Source organism: Homo sapiens, chromosome 10 (assembly GCF_000001405.40).
Source record: "Homo sapiens chromosome 10, GRCh38.p14 Primary Assembly".
NCBI classification, from domain to species: domain Eukaryota; kingdom Metazoa; phylum Chordata; class Mammalia; order Primates; family Hominidae; genus Homo; species Homo sapiens.
Window position 1 is genome coordinate 43,114,140 of NC_000010.11, and position 18,096 is coordinate 43,132,235.

The following is an 18,096-nucleotide window of genomic DNA, read 5'->3' on the forward strand; positions in this document are numbered from 1 at the left end:
GACATTTGGAACAGAGGAAAATTTTGACCTCCCCTGCCAGCCCTCCAGTGCCAGCTGGTGTAATGAGCACAGCCTCTGCTGTGTGACCTTGGCAGGCTGCTCAGCCTCTCTGAGCCTCTGTCTCCATCTGTAAGAGGGCAATAGTGGTCTAGGAGGGGGCAGTAAATGGCAGTACCCATGCTCGATGGGGTGTTCTCAGGCCTTCCCACACCTCCATGGCCACTTCCCAGCTGGCGCGGACACGGCAGGCTGGAGAGCCATGAGGCAGAGCATACGCAGCCTGTACCCAGTGGTGCCGAGCCTCTGGCGGTGCCAAGCCTCACACCACCCCCACCCACAGATCCACTGTGCGACGAGCTGTGCCGCACGGTGATCGCAGCCGCTGTCCTCTTCTCCTTCATCGTCTCGGTGCTGCTGTCTGCCTTCTGCATCCACTGCTACCACAAGTTTGCCCACAAGCCACCCATCTCCTCAGCTGAGATGACCTTCCGGAGGCCCGCCCAGGCCTTCCCGGTCAGCTACTCCTCTTCCGGTGCCCGCCGGCCCTCGCTGGACTCCATGGAGAACCAGGTCTCCGTGGATGCCTTCAAGATCCTGGTGAGGGTCCCTGCGGGGCAGGGAAGATCCCCTGCCCTCCCCAGCTGCCTTCCAGGGAGGGAGGCCAGCTGGGGAGACAGAGGCCATCCTGTGAGGGGCTGCCAACGCTGGGCAGACGAGGCCTGTGTTCTGCCCCCATTTCCATAGGGCGCTGTGTGGGGACAGTCTGTGGGGTGGGACTGTGATGAGGTGCCGTTCCCATCTAGGTGAGAGGCAGTGGTCAGGGTCACAGCATCGGGCAGGGGAGCAGCAGTGTGGATGGAGGGGCACTGAAGTCAGAAGGGGGTGCCTTTCTGGGGAGCCTGGCCTGCAGGTCTGCATGTGCTACTCAGAGCCTCCAGGCTGTGCCGAGTATCCTGGAGCCTCCTTGTCCCGGCCAGGCAGGCCTCTGCCCTCTCCTGGTGGTGGCCTGCCCCTTCAGTGTTCCTACTAGCACTGTCCAGGGCGCTGGAAGCCAAGCCCAGTTCTGGAAGTAACAGAGGCTCAGAGCCAAGGGTGTGAGTGAACGGTGAGCCACGCAGCTTATGGTGGCGTGAATAGCTCCTCGGCAGGAGCCTCCAGGGAGGAAGCTGAGCACCCAGTGGCCACAGGGCCCTGGCAGTTCCCATCTCAGGCTGGGAGGTGGCCTGGGATTCCTGGGAGGGGCCATATCCCACAGTGCAGCTCAGCCTGAGGCCTCGGCCCTGGAGCCTCCGTTCAGGCAACACCCAGCCCTCGGTAAGGGTGTGAGCCAAGGAGGCCTTCCCAGATGTGGCCACTGCCGCTTCCCCACCAGCTTTCCTAATTGGTGGTCCCCATCCTGGCCTGGCTGCAGCTTAGCCTCATGGCAGGGCTCTAGGATGAGCCACCAGAGTCCTTCATAAACCCAGTGGGTTTGTGTGAGGCTGCCCAGGAAGGCCGCACTGGTCTGGGCTGCTGCTGGCAGAGACCACCACCCTAACCCCAGTCAGCTCCAGAGTCACACTCATCAGCACCAGGTCTTGGACCCATGACTCAACCTCAGTATTTGAGAGGATCAGGTTGATGTCGCCCTCATGTGCTTATTGCAGTCTCTAGAGTGTGGTAAACAGGTTTCCAGTGCCAGCTGTGGAGGTGACAGCGGCAGGGAAGCCATGGCAGTGTCGACACTGACCTTGACTGTGGGTTCCCAGGGAATGTGGGGCCAGACCAGGACAGCCCAGGAGCAGGAGACCTGGGGTGACGGATGCCCAGAGCTGGCACATCAAGGGAGGGTTCCTGGATCATGGCAGGCTTTGGCCTCCCTGGTCAGAGTTCAAGTACTGGGGGCCAGGGTGGGGGTCTGGGAAGGCATCCGGAGCAGTCCCAAGTGGGCCCAATGTGTGGATAGAACTTTGGTGGGAGGGCAGGGTGGTAGTGCCAGCAGGCAGGGTGAGCGGGTGCGTGAGGGCCAGTGGCAGCCCTTGAGGAGCAGTGCTTCCACACTCTGAGGCGGAACATGGTGGCGCCTTTCTTTGCAGGGGTGGCTATGTAGAGAAGTTGTCCTGGACACTTCCACTGTAGTCAGAGGTCCTGGGCTGGGCCTGGTGCTCATTTAGTCCTGGGGCAGGGGTCAGGGGAGACAGTAGACCAGGAACCAGAGAGGGTCGAAGTACTGAGTCCAAGCCATGCTGTGACCACACCTGTCATGTAGCAGCTTTCAGGGGCCTGGCTGTGGGGTCCTGCCCAGGGCAGAGACAGGCAGCGTTGCCGCTGGCTCAGATGACAGCCGGTTCTCTGCACATTGGAACTTGTCCATGGGGCCTCCTTTAAGGGTCTTGCCTTCTTCCTCCCCTGTCATCCTCACACTTTTCCCCCCTCTTCTCCCCCTTCCCTCATTTCCAACATAGGAGGATCCAAAGTGGGAATTCCCTCGGAAGAACTTGGTTCTTGGAAAAACTCTAGGAGAAGGCGAATTTGGAAAAGTGGTCAAGGCAACGGCCTTCCATCTGAAAGGCAGAGCAGGGTACACCACGGTGGCCGTGAAGATGCTGAAAGGTACCTGCCAGGCACAGGCACAGTGCCCCTGGGGGAGTCTCCGGGGCGGGGGGCGGGTGAGGCCCCTCCTGCCCAGCATGGGACCCTGAAGAGCCCCCAATGCTGTTCTAGAGCGGCTGCAGTTGGGGGACCCCTACCATGGGCCACTTGGGCCTAGAGAAGCAGAGCGAGGACTTTGCTCTCCCTGGAAGGCTCTAGAGGTGTTGCTGTGCCAGTGCCACTGAAGATCTAAGCTTTAAACATTTAAAAAGCCCTTTGATTTTGAGCTGACAGCTGTCTTCACTCCAGTCTGCCCCATTCATTCCTCTCAGCCCAGTGTCTCCTGGGGTCTTGGTGAAGAGACCACCAGTAAGGACTGGCCCTCAATCTCAAGAGACCCCCATGGGCCTGTCTGGCCTGCATGCCCAGTCATGCCACAAGTTTGGCTCTCGATGGGCACATGCACCTACCCACACAGGCATGCGACTGCACTGAGTAGCCCCCTCTTCTGTGGCCAGGCCCCAGCCCTGTGAACAGCCAGGCTGAATGGCGGTGAGGGAGAGTGGTTGGTGTACATAACAATTATCTGCAGTAGTCGGGGGCTGCACAGCACAGGGTGCTTCCAGATGCCTACCCAGCCCCAGACTGGGTTCACCTCCAAGCCAGTAAAACCCCGGACTCTCCAGGGGCACAGGGAGACCCTTGGATTTCCATTGCAGCCATGCACAGCCCCAGGCTGCCCACACCTGGTCCAAGGGGTCCTGGGGCCCCAACTCCCAACTGTCCTCTCCCTTCCAGACAACCTTTCAGGACAGAGGAGGTGGCACGGCACAGCTGGGCAGTGGGACAGCTGACCTGGGAGGGATGGCTTAGCCATGTGTTCTGACTCTTGGAATACCTTCAGGCCCAGGCACCTGCTGGGCATTCCAGCACAGCTCTGGCCACCATCGGGACGCATGTGCTGGGCAGGTGATCCCTGTGGTGCCTCGTCCTGTTTCCATCATGCCTCTACAGTTAGACTCTCTGGGGAATCATGCTATTCATTAAGAATAAGCCAGAATGTCAGGTGTGCAGTGCACTGGTAACACTGCTTTATCTCAGGTGCTAATGTGGGTCTTCTTGGTAACTAACGGAGTGTGAGCTGCTGACGTGTGTGTGACGGATACATCAGCAGCACAGGAGATGCCTGGGCTCCAGGCTGGCCATCTCAGACAGGAGCGGGAAATGGGGAGCCTGGTCGCGGTGTGTGGACCTCCTTTATGGCTCTCCACCTTCTCCAGGGCCTCTCCCGACAAGTGGGTGTGTGGGTACCCCTCACCTTTCCAGAATGATTAATGCGGGGAATTTCTGTGGACGACTGTCTTCTAAAGACAATGACTACAGGAACATAATGCCACATACACAGGTGGCCCAGCCCTGGGACACTCTGGGGAAAGATCCGGCATGTGTGGTTGCTGGCTCCTCAGGGTGCTTCTTCCTCAGGGTGGATGAGGCCCCTGTCCACTGATCCCAAAGGCTGGGAGAAGCCTCAAGCAGCATCGTCTTTGCAGGCCTCTCTGTCTGAACTTGGGCAAGGCGATGCAGGTCCATCCTGACCTGGTATGGTCATGGAAGGGGCTTCCAGGAGCGATCGTTTGCAACCTGCTCTGTGCTGCATTTCAGAGAACGCCTCCCCGAGTGAGCTGCGAGACCTGCTGTCAGAGTTCAACGTCCTGAAGCAGGTCAACCACCCACATGTCATCAAATTGTATGGGGCCTGCAGCCAGGATGGTAAGGCCAGCTGCAGGGTGAGGTGGGCAGCCACTGCACCCAGGCTGGGGGCTCCATACAGCCCTGTTCTCCCTCTTTCTCCCTTTCCCTACTGCTCCTGCCCTGTTTCCTGTTCTCCCTCTTTCTGGAAGCCTGGCTCAGGCCCCAGCCTGGAGCTTGTGTCTAGCTGAGTCCACGGGCTGAGTGGTCACTTTCCATCAGAGGGGCCCCGCGCTAGCGGCACTCCCTGGGCCCACAGGGCTACTCAGAGGTCTCTGGTGTGACACTGCCATGTGTCCTCACCCAGTTCGGGGCTGGGCCCGTGGGGCAGGGAGCTCTAGGAATGGACAGTGCATCCTGGGTACTAGGGTACCCTGGGTACCACAGGGCACCAGGTGTGCTGTGACCTCAGGTGACCCCAGCCCCGCCCTGCATGGCAGGAACATTGTCACCATTTCTCAGATAAAGACCCAGGAGACCAGCCTGGTTTGTTGGTTTTCCAAACCACCATGCTGCTCAGGGGCTTCCCAGCATGCGTGTGTGGGTGTGTGCGAGAGGGATAGGGAACCCAAACACCGGGAGTGCGCAGCAGGCACTGTGGTCGGCACCAGTAGAGTTGGAGGCTGGGCCTGGGACAGGACAGGTGGGAACAGGGAGCAGGCTGTGTGCAGAGCCCAGCGCCAGGCAGGAACCCTTGCATCTGCGCAGGCCTCTGCCTCCATCAGCATCCCCAGCCTGCACTGGGGCAGGACCCAGGAGGCAAAAAGGCTTGGCGTCCTAGCATCAGGGAGGGGTGCCTCCCAGGGCAGTGTCGCCTGCCTCAGGCACCTCGAGAAGGAGGCACCCACACGAGCAGCAGGAGGCAGAGAGCAAGTGGTTCAAGAGAAAGCTGAGGCTTCAAGGTCTGCGCTCTCCACAGAGCTGCAGCAGTGCTGCCTGAGGCAGGGCTGTGTCCACCCCCTTACTCATTGGGTGGCCGGGCCTGGGGACCCTGCGGCCTCCCACCCCTGGCTCCTGGAAGACCCAAGCTGCCTGACCCGCACGCCCAGGGCCCCCTCTCTCCGCCCCCAGGCCCGCTCCTCCTCATCGTGGAGTACGCCAAATACGGCTCCCTGCGGGGCTTCCTCCGCGAGAGCCGCAAAGTGGGGCCTGGCTACCTGGGCAGTGGAGGCAGCCGCAACTCCAGCTCCCTGGACCACCCGGATGAGCGGGCCCTCACCATGGGCGACCTCATCTCATTTGCCTGGCAGATCTCACAGGGGATGCAGTATCTGGCCGAGATGAAGGTGCGTGCATATGGCTCTGCACCCAGCCAGCCCCGGCCAGGCCACACCCTGACCCACCACGCCCCTGCCACCCACACCCTGGCCTGCCACTCCCCCACCATGCCACACTCTAGCCCACCATGCCCCTGCCATGGCATGCCATGCTATGGCTCACCACGCCCCTGCCATGTCACACCCTGACTCCACCACGCCCCTGCCATGCCACACCCCCGGCCCAGGTCTCACCAGGCCGCTACCCGGGCCACACACCACCCCTCTGCTGGTCACACCAGGCTGAGCCAGTGACCGCTGCTGCCTGGCCATGGCCTGACGACTCGTGCTATTTTTCCTCACAGCTCGTTCATCGGGACTTGGCAGCCAGAAACATCCTGGTAGCTGAGGGGCGGAAGATGAAGATTTCGGATTTCGGCTTGTCCCGAGATGTTTATGAAGAGGATTCCTACGTGAAGAGGAGCCAGGTGCCCAGTCCCGGGGATGAGGCGGGGCTCCCAGGGATCCCAGGTGCACCATGGGGCAGGCAGTGCCCTTGGGAAGCCTAGGAAAGATACCGAAGATTAGTGGAGCTCTAAGCTTTTTATAGCCCTCACCCCAAATCTTTCTGACCCTGGGTCCCCAAGGACCCAATTAGAACTCCGCTCAGCCTCTGCCATGTCCTTCTCCTCCAGGGCCTCCAGGGCACCCCTCCCTGGCAGCATACTGACCCGAGGCCCTTGCCGCACTTTTCAGAGGCCACCTCATGCTGCGGAACTAACAGTCCTCTTCTGCAGAATAAAGGTCACCGTTCTGATATGACCTTAGCTCTTTTCTCAAAGAAGGGTGGGATGAAATTAGCAGGATCGTCATTCTTTGCAAAAAGGAATGAACTGCTTTACAAGTGAGGCTTCTCCCGCACAGGGGCCTTGGACACTGGGCTGGGTGAGTTTAGAGGCATAGGAACCCCCTGGACAGGATCCAGAAACGCAGCCCAGCTTTGTCCAAGTCTATGAAACAGGCAGTGGGCACCCTTGGGGACACCTGGTTCCCTACCATGGTCCTAGTCCCGGGACAACTGCCTTGGCCCTCTTAGTTTTTCTGCCCATGTCAGCCCCTCTCCTGCAGCCTCCCAGTGGCAGCCCAGGCAGGGCAAGTTCAAGGGGCTGCTCAAAGGCCATGCCGCCCAGACGTTCAGAGCAGACCCTGCTCAAAAAAGAAGAAGAAGAAAAAAAAAAACCACAAAAGGCGACTTCCTATGATTCAGCTTTGCTCTGAGGGGTCTGGAGAAGCCATTTGTGTTGCCAGGGGTTGTGAGCTGTTCCGTTTCTTCTGGGGTTTCCCTTGTGACAGCAGATCTCAGAACTGCTGTGGGGGGAAGTGGTAGGGGCTGGCCCCTGCCCTGTGGAGGGTGTGGACAGAGCCTTCCTGTTGATGCACTGGTCCTCCAGGGAGAGAAGCTGAAGGCATTCTTATACAAGACGTGCAGGCTACACTGTCACACACTGCTGCCAAGACAGCCACACTGCACTAAGGACATAAATCCCTCATGTGTTTAAGTAAAAGAAGTGACAGTAAGATTGTGTTCCAACCCAAGGCACACATTTTAAAAATGGACTTGCACCTTCAGGCTTGTCTGTGGAGAAGCTGTTTCTCAAGTCACCCTGGAAAGGATTTGTTAGGTCAGACCCCAGCACTGATGAGGGATGTAGGGGGCTGGGGGCACTCATTCAGAGATGCTAAAAGCACCCTGCAATACAATAAGAGAGAAAAAACAGCCTCCCCCAAGGCACACAGACAAATCCCTTCCCTCAAGGCTCCTTCAGTGTGGTAGCTGCTGGCAAAGTGCCCAACATGGAAATGCTAGATGTTGGTTTCCCAAACACATTGGCCCTCAGAACCCCAGGGGAGATCTTGCAGGGGGAGTTCCAGGCCCATGCATAGGGAAGCACTGCTCTGCACTACCAGCAGGCCTGTGGCATGTGACAAGCTGGCCCTGTGTGCCTGTGGGTGGGCAGCTGACTCCCGCCAGCATCTCAGCAATCCACAGGAGGTTCAGGCTGGAGCTCCAGCCCCTTCAAAGATGTGTGTGGCCAGTTCTGTGCCCAGGAGTGTCTACAGCACTCCTCTGGTTACTGAAAGCTCAGGGATAGGGCCTGGCCTTCTCCTTTACCCCTCCTTCCTAGAGAGTTAGAGTAACTTCAATGTCTTTATTCCATCTTCTCTTTAGGGTCGGATTCCAGTTAAATGGATGGCAATTGAATCCCTTTTTGATCATATCTACACCACGCAAAGTGATGTGTAAGTGTGGGTGTTGCTCTCTTGGGGTGGAGGTTACAGAAACACCCTTATACATGTAGTGGGGCCACGACGCCCGTCTGTGCAGCTTGGCCAGGGAATTGCACTGGCCCTGAGCACCTGTCTGCAGTGCTAGCCCTCTGCAATGACCCCCTCACTGAGGGGCCTTCATGATGTGTTCGTGAGGCAAATGGCTGGGCCAGGCCGGGCTGCAGTTCTGAAAGCTCCGGTAGAGCATGAGAGCCGAGCAGGTGGCCAGTAACCCAGCCTCCCCCACCCTTGCTAGTCCCATGCCTCCCTCTGGGTCCCTTGGTGACTCAGGCCCAGCCCAGCAGTTACCCTCCTGTGGTCCTGAGTAGGGCTTTGGGCTCAGGCAGAGCACCCAGTGACTTGCCCCCACCCACAAGTGGAGCTTGGGGACTCCACCTGAAGATGGCCTTGTGTGAGTTTATAGATTGGTGTGCCCCAAACTGCTCAAAGGTGGAAGCCAAAATCTCATTCTTCCAGGTCCAATGACAAGAGCTGATCACTTTTAAAACACAGGATTCTTGCCTCTAAAGTGTTCTACAGTCAGCAGAGGTGTGATGTGCCTCTCTTTTTTTGTGGGGGGAGGGGATAGGGTCTCACTCTGTCACCCAGGTTGGAGTGCAGTGGCGCAATCCTGGCTCACTGCAACCTCCACCTCCTGGGTTCAAGCGATTCCTGTGCCTCAGCCTCCTGAGTAGCTGGGATTACAGGCACGTGCTACTTCGCCTGGCTCATTTTTTTGTATTTTTTGGTAGGGACAGGGTTTCACCATGTTGGTCACACTGGTCTTGAATCCTGACCTCAAATGATCCACCCACCTCAGCCTCCCAAAGTGCTGGGATTACAGGCGAGAGCCACCACGCCTGGCCAACATGTGCATCTTAAATACTGTGGGCTGTGAATAAGCAATTGGACAACAGCTTTCCGATTATATAAGCTGACTGTAGGCTAGTTGGAAAAGGCAGAGAAAAGCATAAAGAAGAGACTGAATGTCATTGGACCACACCGCCCAGTGACCTCTGGCTGCCCTCTGGTGTGCTCCGTGGTGTGCACATGTATGCTTTTTATTGCCCTAAATGGGCTCATGCGATGCTGTTTTGTGATATGATTTTGTTCCCATTGCAAAGCGAGTTTTCCTTCACAGTTAAAATGTTTTTCTATAGCTTTTTTTCCTTCTAAGATTTTATGAAATTTTCCAAGCACATAGAAATGGCAAAAGAACTATACAAGGCACTCTGAGTCTGGTGGCCTGCATTCTCACCGCTTTAAGTGTGAGAATCTTAAGAATTATTAAGATTAATTCATGATATTAATTAATGTATCATTAATTCATTAATCATGAATTCATCTTAAGCCTCATGTGTCCCTTGTGCGTGTGGCTGCTCTGATGGGAGTGGCTTGGGCAAGGACTTCAGCTTCATGGAGTAGGGGCCAGGCAGGCAGGCAGCCCTTCCCCACCTTCATGCTACATCCATCTGAGCAGCCAGACCCAGGCTGACATCTGTGAGCATCTGTGCTTGAAGCCGACAGGGTCAGCAGGTGCTTGGTGGTGGGGGTGGATATCTGGGCCCCCCGGAGGGCTCTGTGAGGGCCAGGTGGAGCCACTCACTGGTCCTTTCACTCTCTGCAGATGGTCTTTTGGTGTCCTGCTGTGGGAGATCGTGACCCTAGGGGGAAACCCCTATCCTGGGATTCCTCCTGAGCGGCTCTTCAACCTTCTGAAGACCGGCCACCGGATGGAGAGGCCAGACAACTGCAGCGAGGAGATGTGAGCGGGGACTGGCTTTGGCCCAGCCTCACTTGGGAAGGGAGGGGACATCTGTGTGCATTCCCTCCCCATCCAGAGCAGCCCCAGGAGAAACCAGGAGAAGTGGGGGGTGGGGAGTGGGCAGGGCAGAGGTTAGAGAGCCATCCTTGGGTGTGGCAGTAGATGCTGGGGGTCCTACCCCACTGAGGGCTGGTGGGCTTCCTAGGGGGTCTTATAAAAATGAGTGAGAGCAGAGACTGGTGCAATGCAAGCTCAAGGGCTGAGAGCTGTCCCAGCAGGACACTTAGGGAGGAGAAGGTAATTCCAGATGGCCCAGGGGGCACGTGTTAAGGGGTGCCTGAGTGGAGGTGCAGAGCCAGGCAGGGGCAGCCTGGGCTGCAACCTGAGAGGTTGAAACCTTTACACTCTCAGGGGAGATGGTCTTAGAAACCAGGCTGAGAACAGATGAGAAAGGGCTGCCCAGAGGCAGAGATGCATGGTACATGCATTCCACAGAGTGTGCACACTGCTGGGGCGTGGAGGGGGCATGCTGGGCCGAGAAGCCAGGTACCACCTCCCTGGGCCCCCAGCTGGTGGCCAGCTGGAGCGCTGTGGTCTGCCTGGGCACCCAGGCAAGCAAGGACGGTGCAGGACAGACGTGTGATTGCCAAAGGTTCTTGTTTGTCTGTCTCCACACCTAAAAGCCCTCAATCAATTCATTCTTCTTGAGAGTTTTAAGGACTGGCACTTCTCACTTAGCTGCCAGAGCAAGCATAGTATCCAGTGAGCTGTTTACCAGTGTCTTTGCAAGGGAAGTAAAAATGAATCTCCCTTGGAGGGAAGGGAAGCTTGTAGGATTCTGGACCACAGCTCTGAGAGACCTGAGCACAGTGGCCCACGGGCTGGGATCCTGCAACAGGCCATGCCCCAGTCCCACGAGGCTCAGAGATGTCAGCGATGCAGAAATAGCTTTGGAGTTGGAGACAGAGCACACTGGGCCCAGGGTACAGGGCAGGGTGCGATGGCTGTGGTGGGCTGTCCTTCTGAGACCTGGCCCTGCTTGGATCATATTGGCCTGTCTGCTCTTCCCACCAGGTACCGCCTGATGCTGCAATGCTGGAAGCAGGAGCCGGACAAAAGGCCGGTGTTTGCGGACATCAGCAAAGACCTGGAGAAGATGATGGTTAAGAGGAGAGTGAGTGCCTGGGTCCAATTCCCACAAGCTGAAAGTGGCTTGGGGAGACTCCAGCCTCACCCCAGGGCAGTAGTTTTAGCCCTCAGAGTTCCCAGTGTGGGGCCACAGTGGGATTGTGCAGAGAGAGAGAGTCATGCTCTCCCCTGCATGCAGACAGCAGATTGAACCCTTCTCAGGCCAGGCCGCTTGGGCTTCTTTTCAAGTCATGAAGAAACCAAGATTCTTGACATTTAGGAAAAGCTCTCTACAGACAGGCATGGGAGGAAAATATTCCAAAGCCAAAAAGAAATAGTTTTCCATAATGGAAAATGAGAAAGTTGAGTTAAAGCAAGTGCCCAAAATTCAGATGCCCAGAGGGGGGTCCGGCTGGAGGAGGGCAGTGAGTAAGGAGCAGTGGAGACTGTGGCAAACAGCCAGCCCCCTCCAAAGGGTTCCTTGCTGGAGTACCTGTGGCCTGCAGAAAAAGGAGCCAGGAATGGGCTGGGTCTTCTGAATTTTATGAGGTTTATGTTGTCTCCCAGTTTTTATTGTTAACAATTCATTTAAATTTCCCAGAGCCGAACGCAGGCCAAACAAAGCATATCGGGGGGTGGCCAGAGTCAGCCTGTGTGCCTGGAAGTACAGTTTGTGAGGTCTACACATTTTCAACCAATATTCATCAGGCAGCTGCTAGGACCCATACTATGTCTCAGAGGCTGGGAATGCAGATAAACAAGACCAGCACAGCCCTGCCCTCACGGGGTTTACACACAGGCCTTGTCTTAACATTGGCACATTTACTGAGTTGTCACTTCTTCCGACTTGGATAGCGGGATGCAGGACCTAGGACCCCATAGGAAAACTTCACATCACTGTCTCGCTTGGATGAAAACTTCAAGTCCTGAGAATGCAGCGTTGTTCAAAACAGAAGCGATCACTGGTGCTGGCCTTCCTAGAACAGTGCTGAGAAACAGCCGGGAAAACGCTGGGCCCCTCTGTGCACATTCAAGCTGGGCATTGAAAGGAGCAGACGCCAGTGGCCCCTCGTGCTGGGGAGCCCGTGCCTGTAGCAGGGTCCTGTGCACCCTGACAGCGCTGTCAGATTTCAGAACTCAGCCCTGACGTGACGTTCTAGATGGCAGGGGTCCTTGGGGAAAGCTGGAAAACATCCTGCAGGCTGGGGCTGCGTCCTGGCATGTGGCTGCAGTGGGCTCCCCCAGAGCCCAAGGGTTTGTCAGCGGGCTGGTTCCGTGCTGCCCATCTCCGGGTTGGGCCAGGGGCAGCTAGATGAGGCGTCCCCCAAGGCTGCCCTCCAGGCCCTGGAGATAAGACGCTGAGGGAGCACATTTCTTTCCCCAGGGAGGTGACTTTCCAGGGGAAGAGACAGAATAGACAACACCCAGGGGAGTGATGGGGACCTCAGAGCAGGACCAGGCCAGCCAGGAGTCCTGGGAGCTCTATGCAGCCTGGCCCTGGTCTCTTGGAGAGGTCAGGAGATTGGTGCGAGGTGGAGACACAGCCAGAGCCTCTGCCCTGAGGATGGCTTGTTGTATACTGAGTTGTATCTAGTTGTGGCACATGGCTTGGAGTGACCGGCCATCTCTGTCTTCCAGGACTACTTGGACCTTGCGGCGTCCACTCCATCTGACTCCCTGATTTATGACGACGGCCTCTCAGAGGAGGAGACACCGCTGGTGGACTGTAATAATGCCCCCCTCCCTCGAGCCCTCCCTTCCACATGGATTGAAAACAAACTCTATGGTAGAATTTCCCATGCATTTACTAGATTCTAGCACCGCTGTCCCCTTTGCACTATCCTTCCTCTCTGTGATGCTTTTTAAAAATGTTTCTGGTCTGAACAAAACCAAAGTCTGCTCTGAACCTTTTTATTTGTAAATGTCTGACTTTGCATCCAGTTTACATTTAGGCATTATTGCAACTATGTTTTTCTAAAAGGATGTGAAAATAAGTGTAATTACCACATTGCCCAGCAACTTAGGATGGTAGAGGAAAAAACAGATCAGGGCGGAACTCTCAGGGGAGACCAAGAACAGGTTGAATAAGGCGCTTCTGGGGTGGGAATCAAGTCATAGTACTTCTACTTTAACTAAGTGGATAAATATACAAATCTGGGGAGGTATTCAGTTGAGAAAGGAGCCACCAGCACCACTCAGCCTGCACTGGGAGCACAGCCAGGTTCCCCCAGACCCCTCCTGGGCAGGCAGGTGCCTCTCAGAGGCCACCCGGCACTGGCGAGCAGCCACTGGCCAAGCCTCAGCCCCAGTCCCAGCCACATGTCCTCCATCAGGGGTAGCGAGGTTGCAGGAGCTGGCTGGCCCTGGGAGGACGCACCCCCACTGCTGTTTTCACATCCTTTCCCTTACCCACCTTCAGGACGGTTGTCACTTATGAAGTCAGTGCTAAAGCTGGAGCAGTTGCTTTTTGAAAGAACATGGTCTGTGGTGCTGTGGTCTTACAATGGACAGTAAATATGGTTCTTGCCAAAACTCCTTCTTTTGTCTTTGATTAAATACTAGAAATTTTTTCTGTTTCCTAACTTCATCATTGATTGTTTGAAATCTTGGAGTTTCAAGCATTTTTTTCAAGCTGAGACGGTTCCTTTTGCATGCCTCCTGACTCACTGACTCCTCACTGGCTTTGTGTCTAGTGCCACACTCCATTTGTGCTGACGATGCTATGAGGCTGGCCCGTGTGCACCCTCGATTTGGAAGGTCCTCTTCTCCGTTGTAGGCTCAGACAACAGACGAGTGCCTCCTTTACGTTAGAGAATGTTTTATAGAACGTTTCCGCTGCAGTAAGCCATTGAGTGCAGCAGTGTGCTGTTGCCCTACACTGCCTTAGAAAAAGAGTTAAGCAGTTCGACAAATATACATCAGATTAGAGAGTCTCAAGTTCATAAAAGTCAAAATTGGTAGTGTCTGTTAAGTTACATTTACCAAGAGAGCACATGATATTTCCCCTAACTATAACAGTGTTTTTGGAAACCTGGAACACAAAACCATTAATATAATTGGCACAGAAACCACGAGTTTGGTTTGAACATCAAAGGGAGTTTTGCCAAGGCCTTACTGTCTGCACTTGAAGTTTTGGTTCTTCAGTGCAGAACAAATGATCTGTTTTCATTTTTAGGCATGTCAGACCCGAACTGGCCTGGAGAGAGTCCTGTACCACTCACGAGAGCTGATGGCACTAACACTGGGTTTCCAAGATATCCAAATGATAGTGTATATGCTAACTGGATGCTTTCACCCTCAGCGGCAAAATTAATGGACACGTTTGATAGTTAACATTTCTTTGTGAAAGGTAATGGACTCACAAGGGGAAGAAACATGCTGAGAATGGAAAGTCTACCGGCCCTTTCTTTGTGAACGTCACATTGGCCGAGCCGTGTTCAGTTCCCAGGTGGCAGACTCGTTTTTGGTAGTTTGTTTTAACTTCCAAGGTGGTTTTACTTCTGATAGCCGGTGATTTTCCCTCCTAGCAGACATGCCACACCGGGTAAGAGCTCTGAGTCTTAGTGGTTAAGCATTCCTTTCTCTTCAGTGCCCAGCAGCACCCAGTGTTGGTCTGTGTCCATCAGTGACCACCAACATTCTGTGTTCACATGTGTGGGTCCAACACTTACTACCTGGTGTATGAAATTGGACCTGAACTGTTGGATTTTTCTAGTTGCCGCCAAACAAGGCAAAAAAATTTAAACATGAAGCACACACACAAAAAAGGCAGTAGGAAAAATGCTGGCCCTGATGACCTGTCCTTATTCAGAATGAGAGACTGCGGGGGGGGCCTGGGGGTAGTGTCAATGCCCCTCCAGGGCTGGAGGGGAAGAGGGGCCCCGAGGATGGGCCTGGGCTCAGCATTCGAGATCTTGAGAATGATTTTTTTTAAATCATGCAACCTTTCCTTAGGAAGACATTTGGTTTTCATCATGATTAAGATGATTCCTAGATTTAGCACAATGGAGAGATTCCATGCCATCTTTACTATGTGGATGGTGGTATCAGGGAAGAGGGCTCACAAGACACATTTGTCCCCCGGGCCCACCACATCATCCTCACGTGTTCGGTACTGAGCAGCCACTACCCCTGATGAGAACAGTATGAAGAAAGGGGGCTGTTGGAGTCCCAGAATTGCTGACAGCAGAGGCTTTGCTGCTGTGAATCCCACCTGCCACCAGCCTGCAGCACACCCCACAGCCAAGTAGAGGCGAAAGCAGTGGCTCATCCTACCTGTTAGGAGCAGGTAGGGCTTGTACTCACTTTAATTTGAATCTTATCAACTTACTCATAAAGGGACAGGCTAGCTAGCTGTGTTAGAAGTAGCAATGACAATGACCAAGGACTGCTACACCTCTGATTACAATTCTGATGTGAAAAAGATGGTGTTTGGCTCTTATAGAGCCTGTGTGAAAGGCCCATGGATCAGCTCTTCCTGTGTTTGTAATTTAATGCTGCTACAAGATGTTTCTGTTTCTTAGATTCTGACCATGACTCATAAGCTTCTTGTCATTCTTCATTGCTTGTTTGTGGTCACAGATGCACAACACTCCTCCAGTCTTGTGGGGGCAGCTTTTGGGAAGTCTCAGCAGCTCTTCTGGCTGTGTTGTCAGCACTGTAACTTCGCAGAAAAGAGTCGGATTACCAAAACACTGCCTGCTCTTCAGACTTAAAGCACTGATAGGACTTAAAATAGTCTCATTCAAATACTGTATTTTATATAGGCATTTCACAAAAACAGCAAAATTGTGGCATTTTGTGAGGCCAAGGCTTGGATGCGTGTGTAATAGAGCCTTGTGGTGTGTGCGCACACACCCAGAGGGAGAGTTTGAAAAATGCTTATTGGACACGTAACCTGGCTCTAATTTGGGCTGTTTTTCAGATACACTGTGATAAGTTCTTTTACAAATATCTATAGACATGGTAAACTTTTGGTTTTCAGATATGCTTAATGATAGTCTTACTAAATGCAGAAATAAGAATAAACTTTCTCAAATTATTAAAAATGCCTACACAGTAAGTGTGAATTGCTGCAACAGGTTTGTTCTCAGGAGGGTAAGAACTCCAGGTCTAAACAGCTGACCCAGTGATGGGGAATTTATCCTTGACCAATTTATCCTTGACCAATAACCTAATTGTCTATTCCTGAGTTATAAAAGTCCCCATCCTTATTAGCTCTACTGGAATTTTCATACACGTAAATGCAGAAGTTACTAAGTATTAAGTATTACTGAGTATTAAGTAGTAATCTGTCAGTTATTAAAATTTGTAAAATCTATTTATGAAAGGTCATTAAACCAGATCATGTTCCTTTTTTTGTAATCAAGGTGACTAAGAAAATCAGTTGTGTAAATAAAATCATGTATCATAAAATGTGTAAACTTTTTTTCTTTTTAACATTCTAGTTGGAAACAACAGATTTCTGATTTTGTAGTTTCCATACAATATTTAAAACATCACAAAGAATTCTATCATGATAACCACTGAGGCATCAATAGTGGTCGAGGACTAGGGGCTCTGGAGATATCGCTGGCTTATCTGGTACATTTGCGTGTGAATAGGCACATTGATAGAAACTGAAAAACTCAGCTAACTCCACTGTTCAAGGAATCCCTTCCTTAAAAGTGTCCATCCCTAGAACAAAGCAGCAGCCAGTGTCAAGTTTAGGTCTTCACAGTTCTCTAGCAATTTGCTTGTTGCTGATCTTTTGAAGTTGGCCTTAGAGCTGTGGGAGACAGAATACAAAATGCCAAGTCCTGAGGAAGGCCATTAGAAGTGTGAGGGAAAATGCTGTCCTGAACCACCATGAAGCCTGACATACTCACTACTTCTGTTTATGTCTTCCCCGAGGAATTCTCTGAGCTTCTCATGCCGGGCGTGGAGCTGATGGGTCAGTGGGCAAACGGGAGTTGTTGTCAACATCAGTCTCATCTGCGATTGCATTGTGTCAGATGCCAACGGCCTGTGTCACACACATACACGTGTGTATACGTGGGCCTTTGCACGCCTCGCCAGGTGGTGTACATGCAGGCCTTGGCACGCCTCGCCCAGTGCCCGCCCCAGGCCCATGAGGCCCCGCTTCCCAGCCGTGGGTGTCTGTGTCTGCTCACGGCTTCCTCCTTCAGCCTGGACCACGGGCTGGAAGTGAACGTAATCTCCAGAGCCAGCTGTTTGCTGTAGCCTTTACCTCTGAAAGTAGAAATCTACGCCAAGAAAAGTTAATGCTAAAAGCCACCCCTAATGTAGACTCTACATTAGGACTATTTGTGTGTGTATGTTTGCTGTTTTATTTTCCCCTAAAAACACATTTTCTGCCAACCTTCACGAAGGATTTCTTCCCACCACGAGGCCAGCTTATGTGGGCAGAAATCTAGTTGAATGTGCCTGAGAACAGGGCTTGAACAAATACTTCATACACAAAAGAAATTTTGAAGGGAAAGCATAATTTCTAACATATAAAGAAAGCCTCTCCCGCAGGCAGGTGGAGCAGTTAGCGGTGCCTCTCTCTGCCTCGGGTGCGTTCACGCATAGTGTCTGGCACACCTTGTTTTATTGCTCTTTGCTTTATTGCGTTTTTCACAAATTGAAGTTTTGTGGCAACGCTGAGTCGTCGAGAAAGTCTATCAGGGCCATTCTTCCAACAGCCCACACTCACTTCATGTCTCTCTATCAGTACTGTTAAGCAGTAAAGAATCTTTAAACCAAGGTATGTACATTGTTTTTTAGACATAGTTCTGTCACACACTTAACAGACTCCAGTACAGTGTAAAGTGTAACTTTTATATGCACTGGGAAACCAAGAGACTTGTGTGGCTCACTTATTTGGGATCTTCAATCTTCTTTGCTTTACCGGAGTGGTCTGGAACAGTATCTCTGAGGTTCGCCTGTGTTTAGTGGTCCTCACAACTGGGGGGTGGTTCTAGGAAGTCCTAGGGAATCCTAACCTCTGTGGCCCTGAAAAAGCAGAAAGGTGGGTCTTCAGGGTGCATGCAGCAGTGTGCGTGGCCCCACACGTCTTCCACATGAAGATGCTCCAGGTGCAAGTCCTAGGCTTGTGCGCCTGCAGGGAAAGCACCCTCTCTGCCAGGGCTCCTGCTGTGGCCCTGTCCCTTCTCCATGGCAGCAGCCTTGACCGAAACTGTGTAGAGTCTCCCACCTCTTCAGGGAGCTGGGACTCAGGAAGGATCATCTTAGCTGAGGTCATAAGAACCTGCATGTAGAGAACTTTTCAGCGTGGGGCCACTACTGTGTCCTGCT

The 18,096-nt window shown here is 53.4% G+C and overlaps 1 protein-coding gene across 41 annotated transcripts in view, besides 6 other annotated features; it reads left to right on the forward strand.

Annotated features, from left to right (window-relative positions):
• RET (ret proto-oncogene) overlaps positions 1-16,212 on the forward strand; it is a 53,283-nt gene extending 37,071 nt beyond the window's left edge. For 15 of the 41 annotated variants that reach the window (NM_020630.7, NM_001406772.1, NM_001406773.1 and 12 more), the window contains 9 exons: positions 341-597; positions 2,445-2,592; positions 4,234-4,341; positions 5,392-5,606; positions 5,942-6,064; positions 7,807-7,877; positions 9,532-9,669; positions 10,744-10,843; positions 12,436-16,212. In NM_020630.7, coding sequence (NP_065681.1) covers positions 341-597; positions 2,445-2,592; positions 4,234-4,341; positions 5,392-5,606; positions 5,942-6,064; positions 7,807-7,877; positions 9,532-9,669; positions 10,744-10,843; positions 12,436-12,615 — 1,340 coding nt within the window. In that variant the 3' untranslated portion in view covers positions 12,616-16,212. The remainder of the gene's footprint in view (positions 1-340; positions 598-2,444; positions 2,593-4,233; positions 4,342-5,391; positions 5,607-5,941; positions 6,065-7,806; positions 7,878-9,531; positions 9,670-10,743; positions 10,844-12,435) is intronic. The other 26 variants (NM_020975.6, NM_001406771.1, NM_001406780.1 and 23 more) reach the window with 7 other exon arrangements.
• Positions 6,557-6,816: an enhancer, noted in NCBI's record as "active region_3283". NCBI's record gives its function as "activates an Ori minimal core promoter by ATAC-STARR-seq in GM12878 lymphoblastoid cells {active_cell/tissue: GM12878}" and the evidence as "EXISTENCE:reporter gene assay evidence [ECO:0000049][PMID:35858748]".
• Positions 6,827-6,886: an enhancer, noted in NCBI's record as "active region_3284". NCBI's record gives its function as "activates an Ori minimal core promoter by ATAC-STARR-seq in GM12878 lymphoblastoid cells {active_cell/tissue: GM12878}" and the evidence as "EXISTENCE:reporter gene assay evidence [ECO:0000049][PMID:35858748]".
• Positions 6,997-7,116: an enhancer, noted in NCBI's record as "active region_3285". NCBI's record gives its function as "activates an Ori minimal core promoter by ATAC-STARR-seq in GM12878 lymphoblastoid cells {active_cell/tissue: GM12878}" and the evidence as "EXISTENCE:reporter gene assay evidence [ECO:0000049][PMID:35858748]".
• Positions 7,867-7,916: an enhancer, noted in NCBI's record as "active region_3286". NCBI's record gives its function as "activates an Ori minimal core promoter by ATAC-STARR-seq in GM12878 lymphoblastoid cells {active_cell/tissue: GM12878}" and the evidence as "EXISTENCE:reporter gene assay evidence [ECO:0000049][PMID:35858748]".
• Positions 16,195-16,795: an enhancer, noted in NCBI's record as "NANOG-H3K4me1 hESC enhancer chr10:43625782-43626382 (GRCh37/hg19 assembly coordinates)". NCBI's record gives its function as "activates a minimal SCP1, AML or CMV promoter by ChIP-STARR-seq in naive H9 embryonic stem cells {active_cell/tissue: H9 hESC(naive)}" and the evidence as "EXISTENCE:reporter gene assay evidence [ECO:0000049][PMID:30033119]".
• Positions 16,796-17,396: an enhancer, noted in NCBI's record as "H3K4me1 hESC enhancer chr10:43626383-43626983 (GRCh37/hg19 assembly coordinates)". NCBI's record gives its function as "activates a minimal SCP1, AML or CMV promoter by ChIP-STARR-seq in primed H9 embryonic stem cells {active_cell/tissue: H9 hESC(primed)}" and the evidence as "EXISTENCE:reporter gene assay evidence [ECO:0000049][PMID:30033119]".